The sequence below is a fragment of the Homo sapiens genome, chromosome 17, assembly GCF_000001405.40.
Source record: "Homo sapiens chromosome 17, GRCh38.p14 Primary Assembly".
NCBI lineage: Eukaryota > Metazoa > Chordata > Mammalia > Primates > Hominidae > Homo > Homo sapiens.
The window spans coordinates 3,693,368-3,711,930 of NC_000017.11; the positions used below are offsets into that span (position 1 = coordinate 3,693,368).

General features: G+C 50.4%; 1 protein-coding gene and 1 long non-coding RNA gene across 9 annotated transcripts in view, besides 7 other annotated features; both read right to left on the reverse strand.

Annotated features, from left to right (window-relative positions):
• P2RX5-TAX1BP3 (P2RX5-TAX1BP3 readthrough (NMD candidate)) overlaps positions 1-3,037 on the reverse strand; it is a 33,512-nt gene extending 30,475 nt beyond the window's left edge. The window contains exon 1 of the long non-coding RNA NR_037928.1: positions 2,502-3,037. This is a non-coding gene — a long non-coding RNA (P2RX5-TAX1BP3 readthrough (NMD candidate)). The remainder of the gene's footprint in view (positions 1-2,501) is intronic.
• The window catches only part of P2RX5 (purinergic receptor P2X 5), a 50,609-nt gene that overhangs the window by 20,141 nt on the left and 11,905 nt on the right, over positions 1-18,563 (reverse strand). For 4 of the 8 annotated variants that reach the window (NM_175080.3, NM_001204520.2, NM_001204519.2 and 1 more), the window contains exon 1: positions 2,502-2,788. In NM_175080.3, coding sequence (NP_778255.1) covers positions 2,502-2,638 — 137 coding nt within the window. In that variant the 5' untranslated portion in view covers positions 2,639-2,788. Of the gene's footprint in view, positions 1-2,501; positions 2,789-12,058; positions 12,279-18,563 lie in introns of those variants that run through there. The other 4 variants (NM_001425082.1, NM_001425084.1, NM_001425083.1 and 1 more) reach the window with 2 other exon arrangements.
• Positions 389-438: an enhancer, noted in NCBI's record as "active region_11512". NCBI's record gives its function as "activates an Ori minimal core promoter by ATAC-STARR-seq in GM12878 lymphoblastoid cells {active_cell/tissue: GM12878}" and the evidence as "EXISTENCE:reporter gene assay evidence [ECO:0000049][PMID:35858748]".
• Positions 839-888: an enhancer, noted in NCBI's record as "active region_11513". NCBI's record gives its function as "activates an Ori minimal core promoter by ATAC-STARR-seq in GM12878 lymphoblastoid cells {active_cell/tissue: GM12878}" and the evidence as "EXISTENCE:reporter gene assay evidence [ECO:0000049][PMID:35858748]".
• Positions 1,859-2,375: an enhancer, noted in NCBI's record as "H3K27ac-H3K4me1 hESC enhancer chr17:3598520-3599036 (GRCh37/hg19 assembly coordinates)". NCBI's record gives its function as "activates a minimal SCP1, AML or CMV promoter by ChIP-STARR-seq in primed H9 embryonic stem cells {active_cell/tissue: H9 hESC(primed)}" and the evidence as "EXISTENCE:reporter gene assay evidence [ECO:0000049][PMID:30033119]".
• Positions 2,488-2,537: an enhancer, noted in NCBI's record as "active region_11514". NCBI's record gives its function as "activates an Ori minimal core promoter by ATAC-STARR-seq in GM12878 lymphoblastoid cells {active_cell/tissue: GM12878}" and the evidence as "EXISTENCE:reporter gene assay evidence [ECO:0000049][PMID:35858748]".
• Positions 2,658-3,017: a silencer, noted in NCBI's record as "silent region_8018". NCBI's record gives its function as "represses an Ori minimal core promoter by ATAC-STARR-seq in GM12878 lymphoblastoid cells {active_cell/tissue: GM12878}" and the evidence as "EXISTENCE:reporter gene assay evidence [ECO:0000049][PMID:35858748]".
• Positions 8,895-9,095: a silencer, noted in NCBI's record as "peak2690 fragment used in MPRA reporter construct". NCBI's record gives its function as "represses an SCP1 promoter by STARR-seq MPRAs in K562 erythroleukemia cells {active_cell/tissue: K562}" and the evidence as "EXISTENCE:reporter gene assay evidence [ECO:0000049][PMID:32103011]".
• Positions 17,455-17,655: a silencer, noted in NCBI's record as "peak2691 fragment used in MPRA reporter construct". NCBI's record gives its function as "represses an SCP1 promoter by STARR-seq MPRAs in K562 erythroleukemia cells {active_cell/tissue: K562}" and the evidence as "EXISTENCE:reporter gene assay evidence [ECO:0000049][PMID:32103011]".

Consider the following 18,563-nt stretch of genomic DNA (forward strand, 5'->3'; position numbering starts at 1 on the left):
TGGTAGAAAACAGTTTAGCAGTTCCTCAAAAGGTTAAGGATCGAGTTACCAGATAAGCCAGAAAATTCCCAAGAGATTGAGAACATGGCCAGGCACAGTGGCTCCCGCCTGTCATCCCAGCACTTTGGGAGGCCAAGGCAGGTGGATCACCTGAGGTCAGGAGTTCGAGGCCAGCCTGACCAACATGGTGAAACTCCGTGTCTACTAAAAAAATACAAAAATTAGCCAGGCATGGTGGCCCATGCCTGTAATCCCAGTTAATCCAGAGGCTGAGGCAGGAGAATCTCTTGAACCCAGGAGGCAGAGGTTGTAGTGAGCTGAGATCATGCCATTGCACTCCAGCCTGGGCAACAAGAGCGAAACTCCATCTCAAAAATAATAATAATAATAATTAAAAATTGAAAAATTGAAAACATGTTCACAAAAAACTTGTACATGAATGTTCTCAGAAGCATTCTTCTTCTTTTTTTTTTTTTGAGACAGTCTTGCTCTGCTGCCCAGGCTGCTGGAGTGCACTGGTGCGAGTAGCTGAGATTACATGCGCTCGCCACCACACCCAGCCAATTTTTGAATTTTTAGTAGAGACGGGGTTTTACCACGTTGGTCAGGCTAGCCTTGAACTCCTGACCTCAAGTGATCCAGCCACCGCGGTCTCCTCTCCCAAAGTGCTGGGGTTACAGGCATGAGCCACTACACTCAGCGGTGTGAAAACCACCCAAATGTCCATCAGCTGATGAATGCATGACCACAATGTGGCAGCCCCACACGGCAGGATAGTATCAGCCACAGAGAGGAATGGAGGGCTGATAGATGCCACAACATGGGTGAACCTTGAAAACATGACACCAAGTGAAAGAAGCCAGAAAAAAAAAAAAAAAGGCCGCATACTATACAATTTCATTTATACGAAATACCCAGAATAGGCAAATCCATAGAGACAGATTCTCCTGCCTCAGCCTCCCGATTAGCTGGGATTACAGGCGCCACTATCATGCCCAGCTAATTGTTGTGTATTTTTAGTAGAAACAGGGTTTCTCCATGTTGGCCAGGCTGGTCTCGAACTCCTGACCTCAGGTGATCCACCCACCTCGGCTTCCCAAAGGGCTGGGATTATAGGCATGAGCCACAGCGCCCGGCCGCCAATTTCCTAATTTTCATACTTGTACTTAGTTAAATATGTCCTGCTTTCCCTGCCATGTGAGGACACAGCGAGAGGGTGGCCATCTGCAAGCCAAGGAGAGAGCCCCCCCTGAGACCCCGAACCATGCTACCACCCTCGTCTCAGATTTCCACATCCAGGACTGCGAGAATTAAATTTCTATTGTTCAAGCAAAAGCAACTCCATTTATTCATTCATGCGTTCATTTCACATCTATTCCCTAAGCAGTTAAGTGCTGCTGGGGCCCCACCCTCAGGGCATTCCCGGACTGACAGCGACATCAGGCAAATGATCCCCCAAATAAGCCCAATAATTACACTGTGGGAAGGCCAGGGAGGAAGGGAGAGGGAGTTACTGGAAAGCCCAGATCTGGGGGCTGAGTGGATGCTAAGGGAGTGGAGGAGGACGGGCAGGCCTGGCTGAGCAACAGCACAGCGCCTACGAGGCCGCTCAGGTGGGAGGCGGCCAGGGGCCTGGGGATGCAGCTCAGAGAACGCGGACTGCTGGACCTCCGAGGGAGAGCCAGGCGTCAGGGCTGCCCTCCCAGGAGGAAGCAGGAGGAACTCCACCGCATTTACTGAACGAGTGGAATGAGGCGCATCCCCATTGTCCAGCGCTGCTTCTCCCCTCCACCTGCTCACCCCCGACCCACCCCGGGGTCAGGGCTCTGAAGGCGCCTGGCAGAGCAGCCTCCACAAGTTGCCTCTTTGGCTTTGTGGCGCCAGCTCCTGCCAGGTGGCATGAGGATGGGGGAAGGGGATGGCCGAGCTGGGTGCAGAGATAGAGGCCTCTGGGCAGGACCCCCAGCTGGACACCAGAGAGGCTGGCCGCGGGTGGGGCAAGTTGACCGGAAGGGAGCTCAGGAACATGCCGGGCTGATGAGTTTCTCCAGCTCTGAGTAGGCAGTGACACCCTGTGATTATAAATAACCTGCCGGCGCCTGGGTCAGCTGCCAGGCCAAGGCCCAGGGAGGCTCCTGGGGCGACAGCTGCCACCCAGCCCCCTGGCATCCCTGCCCCCTTCCCATGGCCCTAACACGTGGGGACCCGACTCTGGGAGAAGCAGCTGCAGGGAAAGCCTGATAAATCGAGGAAACCAGAAGGCCCCTGCCCACCTCTCATCACCTCTAGCGCCAGTGGGGGAGTGGAGAGCCCCCTCTCTACACCCTACTCCTACACCCAAGGACCCAAAGAGGACCCCCACAGCAAGCAGGCTCACAGACCCCCAGCTACCGGGAAAACCGCGTGCACGCCTGCGAATTCCAGGACCCTGGAGAAGGACGCGGCGGCTGGCACCCGCCCTGCCCCTCCCCCGCCTTCCCAAAAGTCCGCGGAGAACTTACACGACCAGGTACGCCAGGATGGAGGCCTGCAGCAGCCGGTACAGCAGGCCCACCTTCTTGTTCTTGGCGATGACATACTTCTCGGTCTTGTAGTCGAACAGCGACAGGCAGAGCCCCTTGCAGCCCGCCTGCCCCATGGCGCGCTCTCAGCCGGGCTTGCGGACCGCCCGGCCCACGTGCGCTCATGGGGAGCACTCGGTCCCTCGGTCCCTGCGCGCCCGGCGCCCGCCTCGGCCCGTCTGCGCCCGCTCAGCTGCAGCCCGGGGTGTCCGGCAGGGCTGCGGGGCGCGGGGGCGGGTCGGGGCGGCCTTTTATTGACGCGGTTGAGAAAGCCTCGGCTGGGAGCTGGGCGGCGGCGAGCACCGGAACCTCAGACCGCGACCTTGCCGCTACCTCTTCTTCCTCCTCCTCCTCCTCCTCCCCTGACACAGTGACACCCCTGCAACCTACTCCCCAGCCACCGGTCTGGGAGCGCAGCCCCCCGGATGCGCAGGACCGCCCTGTGCTGTTGCCCAGCTGAAAGCAGCGATCGCGGAGGAGAGGAAGTGAAAGGGGGAAGGGCTCCTTTTTATTTTATTTTAAATTTATTTATTCATTTATTTTTGAGACGGAGCCTCGCTCTGTCGCCGAGGCTGGAGTGCAGTGGTGCGATCTCAGCTCACTGCTACCTCCGCCTCCCGGGTTCAAGCGATTCTCCTGCCTCAGCCTCCCAAGTAGCTGGGACTACAGGCGTGATAATTTTTGTATTTTTAGTAGAGACGGGGTTTCACCATGTTGGCCAGGCTGGTCTTGAACTCCTGACCTCAGGTGATCCGCCCACCTCGGCCTCCCAAAGTGCTGGGATTACAGGCGTGAGCCACCGCGCACGGCCGGGAAGAGCTCCGTTTAAAGCAAAACTCCCCTTTCTCTCGCAAAGAAATCCCAAAGGGTTCTTCCTATTGAATAGATGGGGAACTGAGGCCAGGGGAGGAAGGAAGGGGACACAACAGGTTTCTCCATTCACCTCGCGCCAGGTCTCCTGCCAGGGAGATACATTCTTGCTCCGTGGGCAGGGGGTGGTTGTGGGGGGGAAGCCGTGGCTCCCCCACAGGCTGGAAGAGACAAGACTTGTCCCACCTGAGGCTGCCTGTGTCTGCTGCGACTAATGCGCGTTTCTACTGCAGCAGCTGCTGCAGGTTTAAAAGCCCACACTCCGGCGGAGTCGGTGGTCAGGCAGGTCCCGAGTGCCGGCAGCATGAAGACCTCCCTCCCACACTCAGGGCGGATGGTGCGGGGGTGGGGGGCAGACGGGGTGGGGGCGGGGAGACACAGGCAACCCACCCTAGGATCCTAAAAATATGCCTGGAGAGTGCGCATGTACCAACTGTTTGGAATGGTTCCCAACGCACAAGAAATAGAACTGATCCATGCAGCTATGACTGCAACCCTCTCAGTATGTGGAATTCAACAGGAGTGGGAGTGGGATGAGGGAGGGCCTCCGGGGGGGCAGGTTTAGAACTCCTGACAGCCAAAGACGCAGGGCCCTGGGTGAGCGCGGTGTGGTGAGGAGCTGCGCACGCTTATTTTCTGCATCCTGCAGTCTGACCACAAGCAGTCCTGCTCCTCTCCCTACCCCTGGCTTTCACACACAAAGAGGCTCCCTTCCCTAAGCCACAGACTCGGGGAACTGGAAGGTACCCTGAAATTCATCAGTGTGATTCTAAAGTAAAAGCCCCAAGGAAGGTGTCCAGTTTCAAAGTGCATGGGAATCATGTGGAAGAAAAAAAGGCAAATTCCTAGGCCCTGCCCCTCAAATTTTCATTCACGAAATCTAAGATGGGGCTGGGAACCTGTATTTTGCTCTCAAACTGTCATTTGGGAAAGCGTGGATCTTTGCATCTTTTCATCCATTTCAACTCAACTGCCATTTCTTCAAAAAGGCCTGTTATTATTGCCCACCCAAAGTAGCCCCCAGTCCCAGCCCAGCCACTTTCTATCCCATTATCTCATCTTATTCCCTTAGAGCACCTGTCACTATCCAGTAGGATCTCGTTGACTTAGTGACTGTGTCCCATGCTAAGACCAGAAGCTCCCGGAGAGCAGGGACCATGCCTTTGGACATCTCTGTATGTCCCTGTGCCTGCCACATAATAGTTCTAGACATATTATTGAATGAGTGGACAAACCTGGCCCTGATTTTTTTTTTTTTCAACAGGGAGGGCATTTCGATTCCACCCTGCCCCAGTCATGACTGCGAATTTTAGGGGCTGAAGTCATCTTGGCTCTCCTGCCAGCCTCCTCCTCAGCCCCCTGCTAACACAGCACTCCAATGCTCACTAAAGCAGCCGCCACCGAGTGACATCACCCCTAAGAAGATGCCCGTCACCCTGACAGTGCTGCTCCAGGGTAAGGTATAGAGGGGAGGTGGACTTTCAGAGTCTCACAGGAGTCGCCTGAATTGCATCTGCCCTGGAGAAGAGCTTGCCCATCAACCCCAGCACAGGACAACATGAGTGTCACAGAGATGGTGCCACATTGAGTCTCTCCACTCCCCAAGGGAGTTCCAGGTTTTGTTCCAGGGCCTGTTTGTTCTTTGAAGGGGTCTTTAGAGACCAGGACCTTCATTTTTCTGGGGTGATTAGGGAAGGGGTGAGTAAGTGAGGCCCCAGAGCAGAGCCTACCACTAGCCCCAGTCCCAGGCACTCTGCTGTTCTTGATTCATCAAACCTTTGTGTGCTACTGGAGAGGCTGAACTGCCAGGCACTTGCCCTCCATGTCCTGTCTTAACTGCCACTGTGGCTTTAGAGAAGGGCTCTGCTCTGACTTCCCCTCCAGTACAGGCAGCCCCTCCTGAACTCCCCACGGCACAGCCAAGACCAGGCTGCAACTTCTGACGGAACTGTCCTGAAGCTTTAGAGACCACATGAGGGGCATCTAGAGGGGACAGGGCTCTCGGGGACAGGACCAGGCCCATCCTTACGGGGTCCCTTACTGCACAGCTTCAGAGACTAGATCCAGACCCACTGGTGAGGCATGACATCAAATTACTGGGCGACAACCAGCATTAAAAAAAATAGGTTGGGCACAGGCGCTCATGCCTGTAATCCCAGCACTTTGGGAGGCTGAAGCAGCAGAACCGCTTGAGCCCAGGAGTTCAAGACCAGCCTGGGCAACATAGCAAAACTTTGTCTATATATATAGACAGACACACACACACACACACACACACACACACACACACACACACCTATATATATAACTAGCCAAGTCAGGCACAGTGGCTCATGCCTTTAATCCTAGCACCTTGGGAGGCCAAGGCAGGAGGATTGCTTGAGCCCAGGAGTTCAAGACCAGCCTGGGCAACATAGGGAGACCCCTTCTATACAAAAAATAAAAAATTAGCTGGATGTGGTCGTGCACACTTGTGGTCCCAGCTGCTTGGGAGGCTGAGGCAGGAGGATCACCTGAGCCCAGGTGGGTTGAGGCTGCAGTGAGCCATTATTGCACCACTGCACTCCAGCCTGTATGATAGAGACCCTGCTTCTTAAAAAAAATTGACCAGGTGGGATGGTGCACACCTGTAGTCCTAGCTGCTCAGGAGGCTGAGGTAGGAGGATCTCTTGAGCCTGGGAGTTCAACACTGTAGTGAGCAATTATCGCAAATAAATAGAAAATATTGCCGGATGCAGTGGCTCACACCTGTCATCCCAGCAGTTTGGGAGGCCGAGGCAGGTAGATCACGAGGTCAAAAGTTTGAGACCAGCCTAACCAACATGGTGAAACCCCCTCTCTATGAAAAATACAAAAATTAGCCAGGCCTGGTGGCACACGCCTATAGTCCCAGCTACTCAGGAGGCTGAGACAGGAGAATCGCTTGAACCCAGGAGGTGGAGCTTGCAGTGAGCCAAGATCGCGCCACTGCACTCCAGCCTGGGTGACAGAGTGATACTCCATCTAAGAAAGAAAGAAAGAGAGAAAGAGAGAGAGAGAGAGAAAGAAAAAGAAAAAAGAAAGAAAGAAAGAAAGAAAGGAAGGAAGGAAGGAAGGAAGGAAGGAAGGAAGGAAGGAAGGAAAGAAAGAAAGAAAGAAAGAAAGAAAGAAAGAAAGAAAGAAAGAAAGAAAGAAAGAAAATTAGTGTATTTAAGGAAGTATTGGTGTTATGTGAAACTTTTGTTTTAAGTGTCCACATATGGCATTGTGATGTGGAATATACTTCTTCCTGTGGGTCACAGTCCAAATAATGTGGAAAACACTTACAAGCTGTGGCCCCCAGTATCTGCATTCTATCTCCCCATGGCTGAGGCCAACTCACCACCCTCACAAGCACATGCCAAACACCCATTGTGCCCAGTGGGGAGATGAGGACTTTGCTTTTTACACCTGCCTTATTAAAAGTCCAAGTCAGGGCCGGGCAGTGTGGCTCACGCCTGTAATCCCAGCACTTTAGGAGGCCGAGGCAGGCAGATCACGAGGTCAGAAGTTTGAGACCAGCCTGACCAACATGGTGAAACCCCCTCTCTATGAAAAATACAAAAATTAGCCGGGCCTGGTGGCACGCGCCTATAGTCCCAGCTACTTGGGAGGCTGAGGCAGGAGAATCGCTTGAACTCGGGAGGCGGAGCTTGCAGTAAGCCGAGACTGTGCCACTGCACTCCAGCCTGGGCGACAGAGTGAGACTCTGGCTCGAAAAAAAAAAAAAAAATTCCAAGTCAGGGACATTTCCAAAACCAAGATGAATTCTCCAACTGAGAGAAAAATGCCTGCTGCTTTCGAGTGATACAGTTTGGATGTGTGTTCCTCCAAATCGCATGTTGAAATGTGACCTCCCATGTTGGAGGGGGCCTAGTGGGCGGTGTAGGGTCATAGATGTGGCTTCTTTATGAATGGCTTGGCACTATCTCCCGGATAATGAGTGAATTCTCACTCTGGTAGTTCACGCGAGAGCTAGTTGTTTAAAAGAACCTGGTACCTCCTCCTCTCTCTCCTGCTGCCTCTCATCCTGTGACATGCCAGCTCCTCCTCTGTCTTCCACCATGATTGGAAGCTTCCTGAGGCCTCCCCAGAAACTCCCCTCACCCCAGCCAGGGGCCCAGGGCGAATGGCTGGTGTTCAGAGCAGTCACAACCCCCTCACTGCCTCACCACGGCCCCCCTCCTTCTCCTCCCTCACAGGAGTCCACATCACGCTTCCCTGTAATGAGTATAATCCCTTCCTGTTCACCTGAAATAAAGGACGGGATGAGCAGTGACTGTTGTTCCGTTGTTGTCTGATTTACAAGCCTTTGTCTAGTTCAAGCTTGTCCAACCCTAGGCACAAGGACGGCTTTGAATGTGGCTCAACACAAATTCACAAACTTTGTTAAAACGTTGTGAGGTTTTTTTTGCAATTTTTTGTTTTTTTTAGCTCATCAGCTATTGTTAGTGTGAGTGTATTTACGTGTGGCCCAAGACAATTCTTTTTCCAATGTGACCCAGGGAAGTCAAAAGATTGGACACCTCTGGTCTAGTTGGATGATTTAAGGTACCTGCAGTGAAGTGATGAGAACTATAAAATGAACTTCTAAGTCCGGGCGTGATGGCTCACGCCTGTAATCCCAGCACTTTGGGAGGCCAAGGTGGGCGGATCACCTGAGGTCAGGAGTTCGAGACCAGCCTGAACAATATGGAGAAACCCCGTCTCTACTAAAAATACAAAATTAGCCCGTCATGGTGGCGCATGCCTGTAATCCCAGCTACTTGGGAGGCTGAGGCAGGAGAATCACTTGAACCCAGGAAGCAGAGGTTGTGATGAGCAGAGTTCACACCATTGCACACTCCAGCCTGGGCAGCAAGAGTGAAACTCTGTCTCAGAAAAAAAAAAAAAAAAAAAAAAAGGAACTTCTAAAGGGACATTTTCTCTGTTTTTTTTTTTTTTGTTTTTTTTTTTTAAGACAGAGTCTTGCTCTGTCTCCGAGGCTGGAGTGCAGTGGTGCAATCTCAGCTCACTGCAACCTCTGCCTCCCCGGCTCAAGTGATTCTCCTGCCTCAGCCTCCCAAATAGCTGGGACTACAGGCACACACCACCATGCCCGGCGGTGAGTAATTTTTTTGTGTGTAATTTTTTCGTATTTTTAGTAGAGACGGAGTTTCACCATGTTGGTTAGGCTGGTCTCGAACTCCTGGCCTCAAGTGATCCACCCACCTGGGCCTCCCAAAGTGCTGGTGAGAGATCAAGCCAGCTGGACTTCCTGGGTCGAGTGAAGACTTGGAGAGCTTTTCTGTCTAGGTAAAGGATTGTAAATGCACCAATCAGCACTCTGTAAAAACGCACCAATCAGTACTCTGTGTCTAGCTAAAGGATTGTAAATGCACCAATCAGCACTGTGTAAAAATGCACCAATCAGTGCTTTGTGTCTAGCTAAAGGATTGTAGACACACCAATCAGCCCTCTGTAAAAGCGCACCAATCAGCATTCTATGTCTAGCTAAAGATTGTAAACGCACCAACCAGCACTCTGTAAAATGGACCAATCAGCGCTCTGTAAAATGGACCAATCAGCGCTCTATAAAATGGACCAGTCAGCAGGATGTGGGTGGGGCCAAATAATGGAATAAAAGCTGGCCACCCAAGCCAGCAGTGGCAACCTGCTGGAGTCCTCTTCCACGTTGTGGAAGTTTTGTTCTTTCCCTCTTCACAATAAATCTTGCTGCTGCTCACTCTTTGGATCCACACTACCTTGATAAGCTGTAACACTCACTGCGAAGGTCTGAAGCTTCACTCCTGAAGTCAGCGAGACCATGAACCCACTGGAAGGAAGAAACTCTGGACACATCTGAACATCAGAACATCAGAAGGAACAAACTCCAGACACACCATCTTTAAGAACTGTAACACTCACCACGAGGGTCCATGGCTTCATGCTTGAAGTCAGCGAGACCAAGAACCCACCGGAAGGAACCAGTTCCAGACACATTGGGACTATATGCGTGAGCCACTGTACCCAGCCTGCCATTTTCTTTTTACATCATCTCCCTTGCTCCTAAGACTTGCCAGCATTTTAAAGTCTATTATTGTGGTCTGGACCCACTCTGGGACATCCTGGTCTGCTCTGAGACCTGGGACAGTCTCTGATAAAATCCTGGTGGACTCCCAAATGTATCCAGTAAAAGCTACGAGGGAGCCTCAGACAGAGCCCTCCCCTCCTCCAAAGAAATGTGCTGGGGGCCTCACCTGGGGGAAACCAGACTCTCCTGCCTCTGATCCCAAGCTTTCCCCACACCAGTATCTGTTCCTTCTACACATTTTATAGATGAAAAGCGAGAATGTATGGTGCAATGGGCTGAGCCTTTAGAGACAGGGGAATTACTCCTCAAATAGAAAAACTCAACAACAAACGAGGCCAGGCCCAGTGGCTCACACCTACAATCCCAACACTTTGGGAGGCTGAGGTGAGAGGATCACTTGACCCCAGGAGTTAGAGACCAGCGTGGACAACGAAGTGAGACTCTTGTTTCTACCTAAAAAAACAAAACAAAACAAAAAACATTAAAAAATTAGCTGGGCATGGTGGCAAGTACCTGTGGTCCCAGCTCCTTGGGAGGCTGAGGTGGGAAGATTGCTTGAGCCCAGGAGATTGAGGCTGCAGTGAGCTGAGATCATGGCACTGCACTTCAGCCTGGGTGACACAGAGGGATACTTTAAAAAAAAAGAAAAAGAAAACTCCTCATTTCCCTATGGGATGAAGTGCTTCCAAGAGGAAAAATGTCAGCTGCAGGAGAGTTGCCAACAGCATCACTGTTCCCAGCAGCAGCTTGGAGGTGTCCCTTGGTCACCCCTGCAGCCTCTGAAGACACGTGGGTTCTCTCTTCCCCTCCAGCTCTGGTGAGGGTGAAATAACACCTCCCCCTTAGCCTGAGATTCCAACAAACCCAAAAAACATTCCCCACAAAATTAAAGGAAACAAAACAGAAAATAAACAACATTTAAAAACCCCAGCCGGGCATGGTGGCTCACGCCTGTAATCCCAGCACTTTGGGAGGCCGAGGTGGGTGGATCACCTGAGGTCAGGAGTTCGAGACCAGCCTGACCAACATGGAGAAACCCCATCTCTACTAAAAATACAAAAAAGTAGCCGGACGTGGTGGCACATGCCTGTAATCCCAGCTACTCGGGAGGCTGAGGCAGGAGAATTGCTTGAACCCAGGAGGCAGAGGTTGTGGTGAGCTGAGATGACGCCATTGCACTCCAGCCTCGGCAACAAGAGCAAAACTCTGCCTCAAAAAAACAAACAAACAAAACCCAAAAAACCACACAAAACCCAAATCCCATAAAATCATATGGTTCTTGGAGTAGAGGTTCAGATGTTACTTCCTTATGGTGAATTCTATTTCCCACCTCAAAGGAGCAGGAAGGCCTGGAAGGAGGAGATTTGAATCTCTCCTGGGGCACAGAAGGTCATTCCGCGATAAGGGGGCCAGCTGCAGACCCAGCCTTCCTGCCGAGTCCTGAGGAGCTGGGTGGCCCAGAGAGACAAGAGTGGGCAGGGGTGGTACGGGAAGAGTTTCACCAAGAGCCTCCCAAGGCAACTCGCCCTTTTCCTTTTGCTGAGGTCCTTCCATGACGGACATATCCCATTAATAGACATTACTGATCCACTTAAATGGCAGATGCATTATTAACGCCATGTAAATGCAGTCAACAGAAGGCAGGACACTCCTCTCTGTGGGAGGCACTTCCGTGCCCATCAGCACCTTGTGTGACCCACCGTAATTGATGGGTTGGTACTCAGTACCCAGCGCCCAATATTTGAACTGAGGAAAATTCCACTGAGACAGTAAACACTTGAAAGAGTAAAGAGCCAAATGCTAGTCCACTGGGCACTAAAAAGGATAAAGATTCAGGCCGGGTGTGGTGGCTCACACCTGTAATCCCGGCACTTTGGAAGGCCGAGGTGGACGGATCACCTGAGGTCAGGAGTTCGAGACCAGCCTGACCATCATGGAGAAAACCTGTCTCTACTAAAAATACAAAATTAGCTGGGTGTGATGATGCGTGCCTGGAATCCCAGCTACTCGGGAGGCTGAGGCAGGAGAATCGCTTGAACCTGGGAGACAGAGGTTGCGGTGAGCGGAGATCATGCCATTGTACTACAGCCTGGACAACAAGAGCAAAACTCTCGTCTCAAAAAAAGAGAGGATAAAGAATCAAACTCGAGTCAACCAAATCCACAAAGCAGTGACAAGTCTACCACGGTACCTCTTAGAGCTACGCACATCTTGTTCTAACTCCAGTTCCCGGCGCTGGCTTCCCCCACAGCATGTGTGAACTTTCTCACACGCATCCGCTCCTCTCCACTCCCAAGTTCCAGGACTGTGGTGATGCAATGAGAATGAGTGTGAGAATGGTGGCAATGCAATGAGTGTGAAACCCACGTATCAAATACCACGAATGCCCGTGTCTTCCCATAGTTCCCTGTACACGATTCGGATCCAATGCACAGTCCTACCTGCCTTCCCAGCTACACAGTCCCCACTGCACACTCAGCCTCAGCCAGCTTGGCTCGTGGGCTTTACCATAGTTTTCAGTGTCCAGCTTCCCTACCTTTGCCCAGGTGGATCTCTCCTCTGTTCTTCATGGCTTCGAGGGTCAGCTTACAGGTGTCTCTCTCCTTCATGAAGGCCTCCTCAATTGCTGTCCTCCTCCAAATGTCCACACGATAGGATCTGTACCATTTAGAGAATTCATTGCTTTCTCCCTCGCTGTCACAGTTGGGTACATATCTGTCAAGCAGGAAAGGCCTTCAACAGTCTGACCACAGGACCTGCATGAAGTAGGTAGTCACTGAGGCTTGTAGAATGATGAACAAAGAACGAATGAATGAAATTTCTAATCACCCATTAGCCTGTATACTTGAAGTGTCTGGGGTAGAGTGACTAAGTGACTTTTATTTTTGTGTGTATATTAATAGAAGATTACTTTTTTCTTTTTTGAGATGGTGTCTCACTCTGTCACCCAGGCTGGCGTGCAGTGGCACAATCATGGCTCACTGCAGCCTTGACCTCCTTGGGCTGAGGTGATCCTCCCACCTCAGCCTCCTGAGTAGCTGAGACTACAGGTACATACTACACCTGGATAATTTTTTTTTTTTTAAGACAGAGTCTCACTCTGTCGGCAGGCTGGAGTGCAGTGGCACAATCTCAGCTCACTGTGACCTCTGTCTCCTGGGTTCAAGTGATTCCCCTGCCTCACCTTCCTGAGTAGCTGGGACTACAGGCGCGCACCACCACGCCTGGCTAATTTGTTGTATTTTAGTAGAGACGGGGTTTCATCATGTTGGCCAGGACAGTCTCGATCTCCTGACCCCGTGATCTGCCTGCCTCAGCCTCCCAAAGTGCCGGGATTACAGGCATGAGTCATCACGCCTGGCCCCTGGGTAATTTTTATGTTTTCTGTACAGACAGGGTTTCGCCGTGTTGCCCAGGCTGGTCTCAAACTCCTGGGTTCAAGTGATCTGCCCACCTTGCGCTCTCAAAGTGCTGGGGTTACAGCTGTGAGCCACTGTGCCTGGCCCATAGAAGATTTCAACAGACGTAATTCCACCAGAGCAGTAAGTTAAAATTCGTCTCCTGAAGTAACTTACTCATCACCAAGACTCCAGGTCTGTGCTGAGTGCAGCCCATTGACAAAGTGTAACCAGATGAACACACACACTGATCTCATAATTAGCATCTCACAGGGTGCGGCTCCCACATCACCACCACCTGGAGCACATGCCGAAAAATGCGGAGGCCCAGATCCAAGCCAAGCTAGAGCGTCAGAGCCTTCGGGGGTCGGAGCAAGGAGCCAGTGTGATCTCGGCTCACCGCAATCTCTGCCTCCCGGGTTCAAGTGATTCTCCTGCCTCAGCCTCCCAAGTAGCTGGGACTACAGGTGCCCACCACCACGCCCGGCTAATTTTTGTATTCTTAGTGGAGACGGGTTTTCACCGTGTTAGCCAGGATGGTCTCCATCTCCTGACCTGGTGATCCGCCCGCCTCGGCCTCCCAAAGTGCTGGGATTACAGGCGTGCGCCACTGCGCCCACCTATAATCTTGATACCAACAGAAATTGTATATTCCTGTCACATTACAGCTACCGCAGGTATCTCAAAATATAATGTAAGCTCATCACCACTTTGGAAGTAGGGTAGTTATTAGACCTGCTGCTTTAAGGCATTAATAAAGATATACAAACATCTCTATATAAATTTTTAAAAACATTCTGATTGTTAGATTTCAATGTAATTGATTTTTATAAACTTTTATTGTTTAAAAATAAGCTGATAGACGGTTGGGAAAACGGGGCAAAACAAGCAGAGGAAAATGCTAACAGCAGAAACTAGGTGGTGGGCAGACCGGTGTTCACTGTAGAATTCGACTTTTCTGTATGTGTGAACATTTTCGTAATGCAACGTTTGGGAAAATACCTGACAAGGGGTTGCTGGACCACCAAAAGGATCTACAGCCCACCGAACAGTCAGAAACCCCTAACCTAGAGGTACTGGTGTCCTTAACCAGCTAGCCAATCCAGTCAGTTCTTCATCCGGGAGCCAAAAGACCCCAGGCCTGGGTATCCCAATTCCACTTAGGCTGGCAGCCTTTTGCCAGACTAAGAAATCAAAAAGGTTTGCAGCACCAAAGTGAGCCAGTGGTGTTTTCTCTCATTCATCCCAGCACTCCAACCTTAGCCTCAGATCTCACAGCTCTAAAGAGAGGAAAGATCACGCCGAGAAACCAAAGCCAAGAGCTCGAAAACGTCTGGCAGTTCTGGGAAGGACTAGTCCAGACCCCCCTCTCGGCCCTGGACAGAAGATGAGGCATCCACAGAGACCACACCTTCAGTCCCCCTGACTACTGTGCCCCCAGGACTGCAACTGGCTGCGGGGTCCTAGGAGATGGTTAACCAGGAATCTCGGCCAGACGCGGTGGCTCACGCCTGTAATCCCAGCACTTTGGGAGGCCGAGGCAGGTGGATCACGAGGTCAGGAGATCGAGATCATCCTGGCTAACACGGTGAAACCCTGTCTCTACTAAAAATACAAAAAATTAGTCAGGCTTGGTGGCGGGCGCCTGTAGTCCCAGCTACTTGAGAGGCTGAGGCAGGAGAATGGCGTGAACCCGGGATGCGGAACTTGCAGTGAGCCGAGATCATGCCACTGCACTCCAGCCTGGGTGACAGAGTGAGACTCCGTCTCAAAAAAAAAAAAAAAAAAAAAAACACCAGGAATCTCCTCCTCAGGGACAGAGGGAGGGCAAGGGCAGGGCCTCTCCCAGAAGCGGAAGGGCACCGTGGTCCTGTCTTCTCCCTGGTGGTACTTAGGAAGACTGTTTTTCAGACAGACCACCAATGATGACGGCTGCTTCCTAATGCCCACCACCTCATCTGTAAGACTTAGCTCCCCCACTTTGGAGAGCACATGGCTCTCTAATCCTATTAAAGTCAAATCACCCTTACTTGCCCAAAGGCTCAGAAGTTCAGAGGTAGAAATGCACCTCTTCTACCCCAGAAGCAGGGAGCAGCTCAGAAAAAGCTAATGAGAAAATACCAGGGTCATGTTGTTTGAACTGGACAAGAAAGAAAAAGCATAGAGGAAAAAAAAAAAAGTCATCTTAATTCATGGAAAAATACATGGCCTTGCCAACAGTCAAAGAAAAGTAAAACTGAAACTATAATTATATACCCATTAAGCAAACAAATTAAGTAAAAATGGAGATTCCAGAACAAGTTCACGCTGCTGATAACCACATAAAGTGGTCCGGTCTTTCTGGAAAGCACTTCGGCACTGCAGAGCAATTACAAAAAGTTTTTAATTCCACTCTTGGAAAAAGCTAAAAGGGCTTCTTTACAAATTGTGATTAATTCCCCAAAGATTATGTTAGCCCAAGATGATACCCTTCCCTCTATTCCCCCACCTGACCCCCAGCATTTAGCAGCAGCATTTAGCTTCTGACATGCATTCCTTGAAAACGGTCACAAATGGCAGAAGATACCATCTTATTTATGCAACCCCCCTCAAAAAAAAAAACCTTTGTACTTAGATATAAATATATATAAATACTTAGAGATGCACAGAATATGGTTTGGTTTTCTTTCTTTTCTTTTTTTTGAGACAGAGTCTTGCTCTGTCACCCAGGCTGTAGTGCAATGGCACAATCTTGGCTCACTGCAACATCCCCCTCCCGTGTTCAAGCGATTCTCCTGCCTCAGCCTCCCAAGGAGGTGGGATTACAGGCGCCTGCCACAACGCCAGGCTAATTTTTGCATTTTTAGTAGAGACAGGGTGTCACCATGTTGGGCAAGCTGGTCTCGAACTCCTGACCTCAGGTGATCCACCCACCTCGGCCTCCCAAAGTGCCCGGCTCAGAATATGGGTTTGGAAAGATACACGTTAAACCAGGTCATCTCAGCCTCTGAGGAAGAGCATTGAATGAAGCAAGGTTGCGACAAAGGCAAATTTTCACTTTTTACTGATTTCACTATGAGAAATGTACCTATTACTCATGTACTTTACAAAATTTGCTCCCACTAATAAAAAAACAAAGCAAGTCAACCGAAGTTGGGAATTGTCAATTTAGGTGCATCCTCCTGAACTCTGCTATTAGGACGACGATGCTTCCTGAAGTGATTAAGTTTCCCTAAGCCAGGCACAGTGGCACATGCCCTTAGTCCCAGCTACTGCAGATCACTTGAGCTCAGGAGTTCAAGTCCAGCCTGGGTAACAAGGTGAGACCCCAGTCTCCAAAAGTAAAAGTTAAAAAATTTTAATAGCCAGGTGCAGTGGAGGCTCAAGCCTGTAATCCCAGCACTTTGGGAGGCTGAGGTGGGTGGATCACGAGGTCAGGAGTTCGAGACCAGCCTAACATGGTGAAACCCCGTCTCTACTAAAAATGCAAAAATTAGCTGGGCATGGTGGCGGGTGCCTGTAGTTCCAGCTACTCGGGGGGCTGAGGCAGGAGAATCGCTTGAACCCAGGAGGCGGAGTTTGCAGTAAGCCGAGATCATGCTACTGCACCCCAGCCTGGGCGAAAGAGCGAGACTCTGTCTCAAAAAACAAACAAAGAAAAACAAAACAAAACAAACAAAAATTAATAAAATGAAAGTTTCCCTTGATTCCATATACTGAATCTGTTCCTAGTTCAAGTAATGGTAAAATTCTGGTGCCATTATAATATAATTATGACTAGAAGACCCAGAAAATCTTAACCAAATACCCCTCCTTGTAAATGTATTAGAGATGTGCACAGAATAATGCAGTAGTGCAGATTATTTAAGACTGCAGGAGGCCGGGCGTGGCGGCTCACGCCTGGAATCCCAGCACTTTGGGAAGCCGAGGTGAGCGGATCACTTGAAGTCGGGAGTTCAAGACCAGCCTGGTCAACATGGTGAAACCCAGTCTCTACTAAAAATACAAAAATTAGTTTGGTGTGGTGGCATGCACCTGCAGTCCCAGCTACTCAGGAAGCTGAGGCATGAGAATCGATTGAACCTGGGAGGCGGAGGTTGCAGTGAGCCGAGATCATGCTACTGCACTCCAGCCTGGGAGAAAGAGCAAGACTCTATCTCAAATAAATAAATAAATAAATAAATTAATAAAATGAAAGTTTCCCTTGATTCCATATACTGAATCTGTTCCTAGTTCAAGTAATGGTAAAATTCTGGTGCCATTATAATATAATTATGACTAGAAGACCCAGAAAATCTTAACCAAAAACCCCTCCTTGTAAATGTATTAGAGATGTGCACAGAATAATGCAGTAGTGCAGATTATTTAAGACAGCAGGAGGCCGGGCGTGGCAACTCACGCCTGGAATCCCAGCACTTTGGGAAGCCGAGGTGAGCGGATCACTTGAAGTCGGGAGTTCAAGACCAGCCTGGCCGACATGGTGAAACCCCATCTCTACTAAAAATACAAAAGTTAGTTGGGCGTGGCGGCATGCACCTGCAGTCCCAGCTAATTAGGAAGCTGAGGCATGAGAATCGATTGAACCCAGAAGGCGGAGGTTGCAATGAGCCGAGATCGCACCACTGCACTCCAGCATGAACGAGAGCGAGACCCTGTCTCAAAAAAACAAAACAAAACAAAAAAAACTGCTGTTCCCTCCAATAACTGCATCCAAAGTTCAGCGGGTCCCAGCTCAGTCCTTTTCTGGGTAGCAGAGTGGCCCTATGGCATGACTCACTGTTCTTGGATCTATGCAAGCTCTACCATTTCCTGTCCCAGGCAGAGGGTGAAAAGGAAATGAGAAAGGCCTAGCACCTAAAAGGCAGCTTGTAGAAGAAAGACCGGCTGGGAAAGTACCCCATGTGCTTTCTGTTCTCCTTTGCCCTGGTACAGGATAGTGAGTGCAGATTCGAATAACCTGTTTCTCTCATGATACCATCTGAACTTTGGAGGGATGAAACCAATGAAACCAAGCAGGTGTGAAAACCTAAATTGGCCACGTTATTTAGACCTCATTCAATTACGAGAAAAGGTTACTCCACAGGGCTGAGCCCAGCACTCATTCTTTTTTTTTTTTTTTTTTTTTTTTTTTTTTGAGACGGAGTCTCGCTCTGTCACCCAGGCTGGAGTGCAGTGGCGCGATCTTGGCTCACTGCAAGCTCTGCCTCCCGGGTTCAAGCGATTCTCCTGCCTCAGCCTCCAGAGTAGCTGGGATTACAGGCACCCACCACCACGCCCAGCTAATTTTGTATTTTTAATGAAGATGGGGTTTCTCCATGTTGGTCAGGCTGCTCTCAAGCTCCCGACCTCAGGTGATCTGCCCACGTCGGCGCCTCCCGAAGTGCTGGGATTACAGGCGTGAGCCACTGCGCCCGGCCTCATTATTTATTTATTTATTTATTTTTTTGAGACAGGGTCTCGCTCTGTTGCCCAGGCTGGAGTGCAGTGGCACGATCTCGTCTCACTGCAAACTCTGCCTTCTGGGTTCAAGCGATTCTCATGCCTCAGCCTCCTGAGTAGCTGGGACTACAGGTGTATGCCACAGACCTTGGCCCAAGCCATAGCATATGAATTTGTAAAATCTAACCATGTCGCACTTAAAAGTGTCTTCCTCCTCATTAAGTA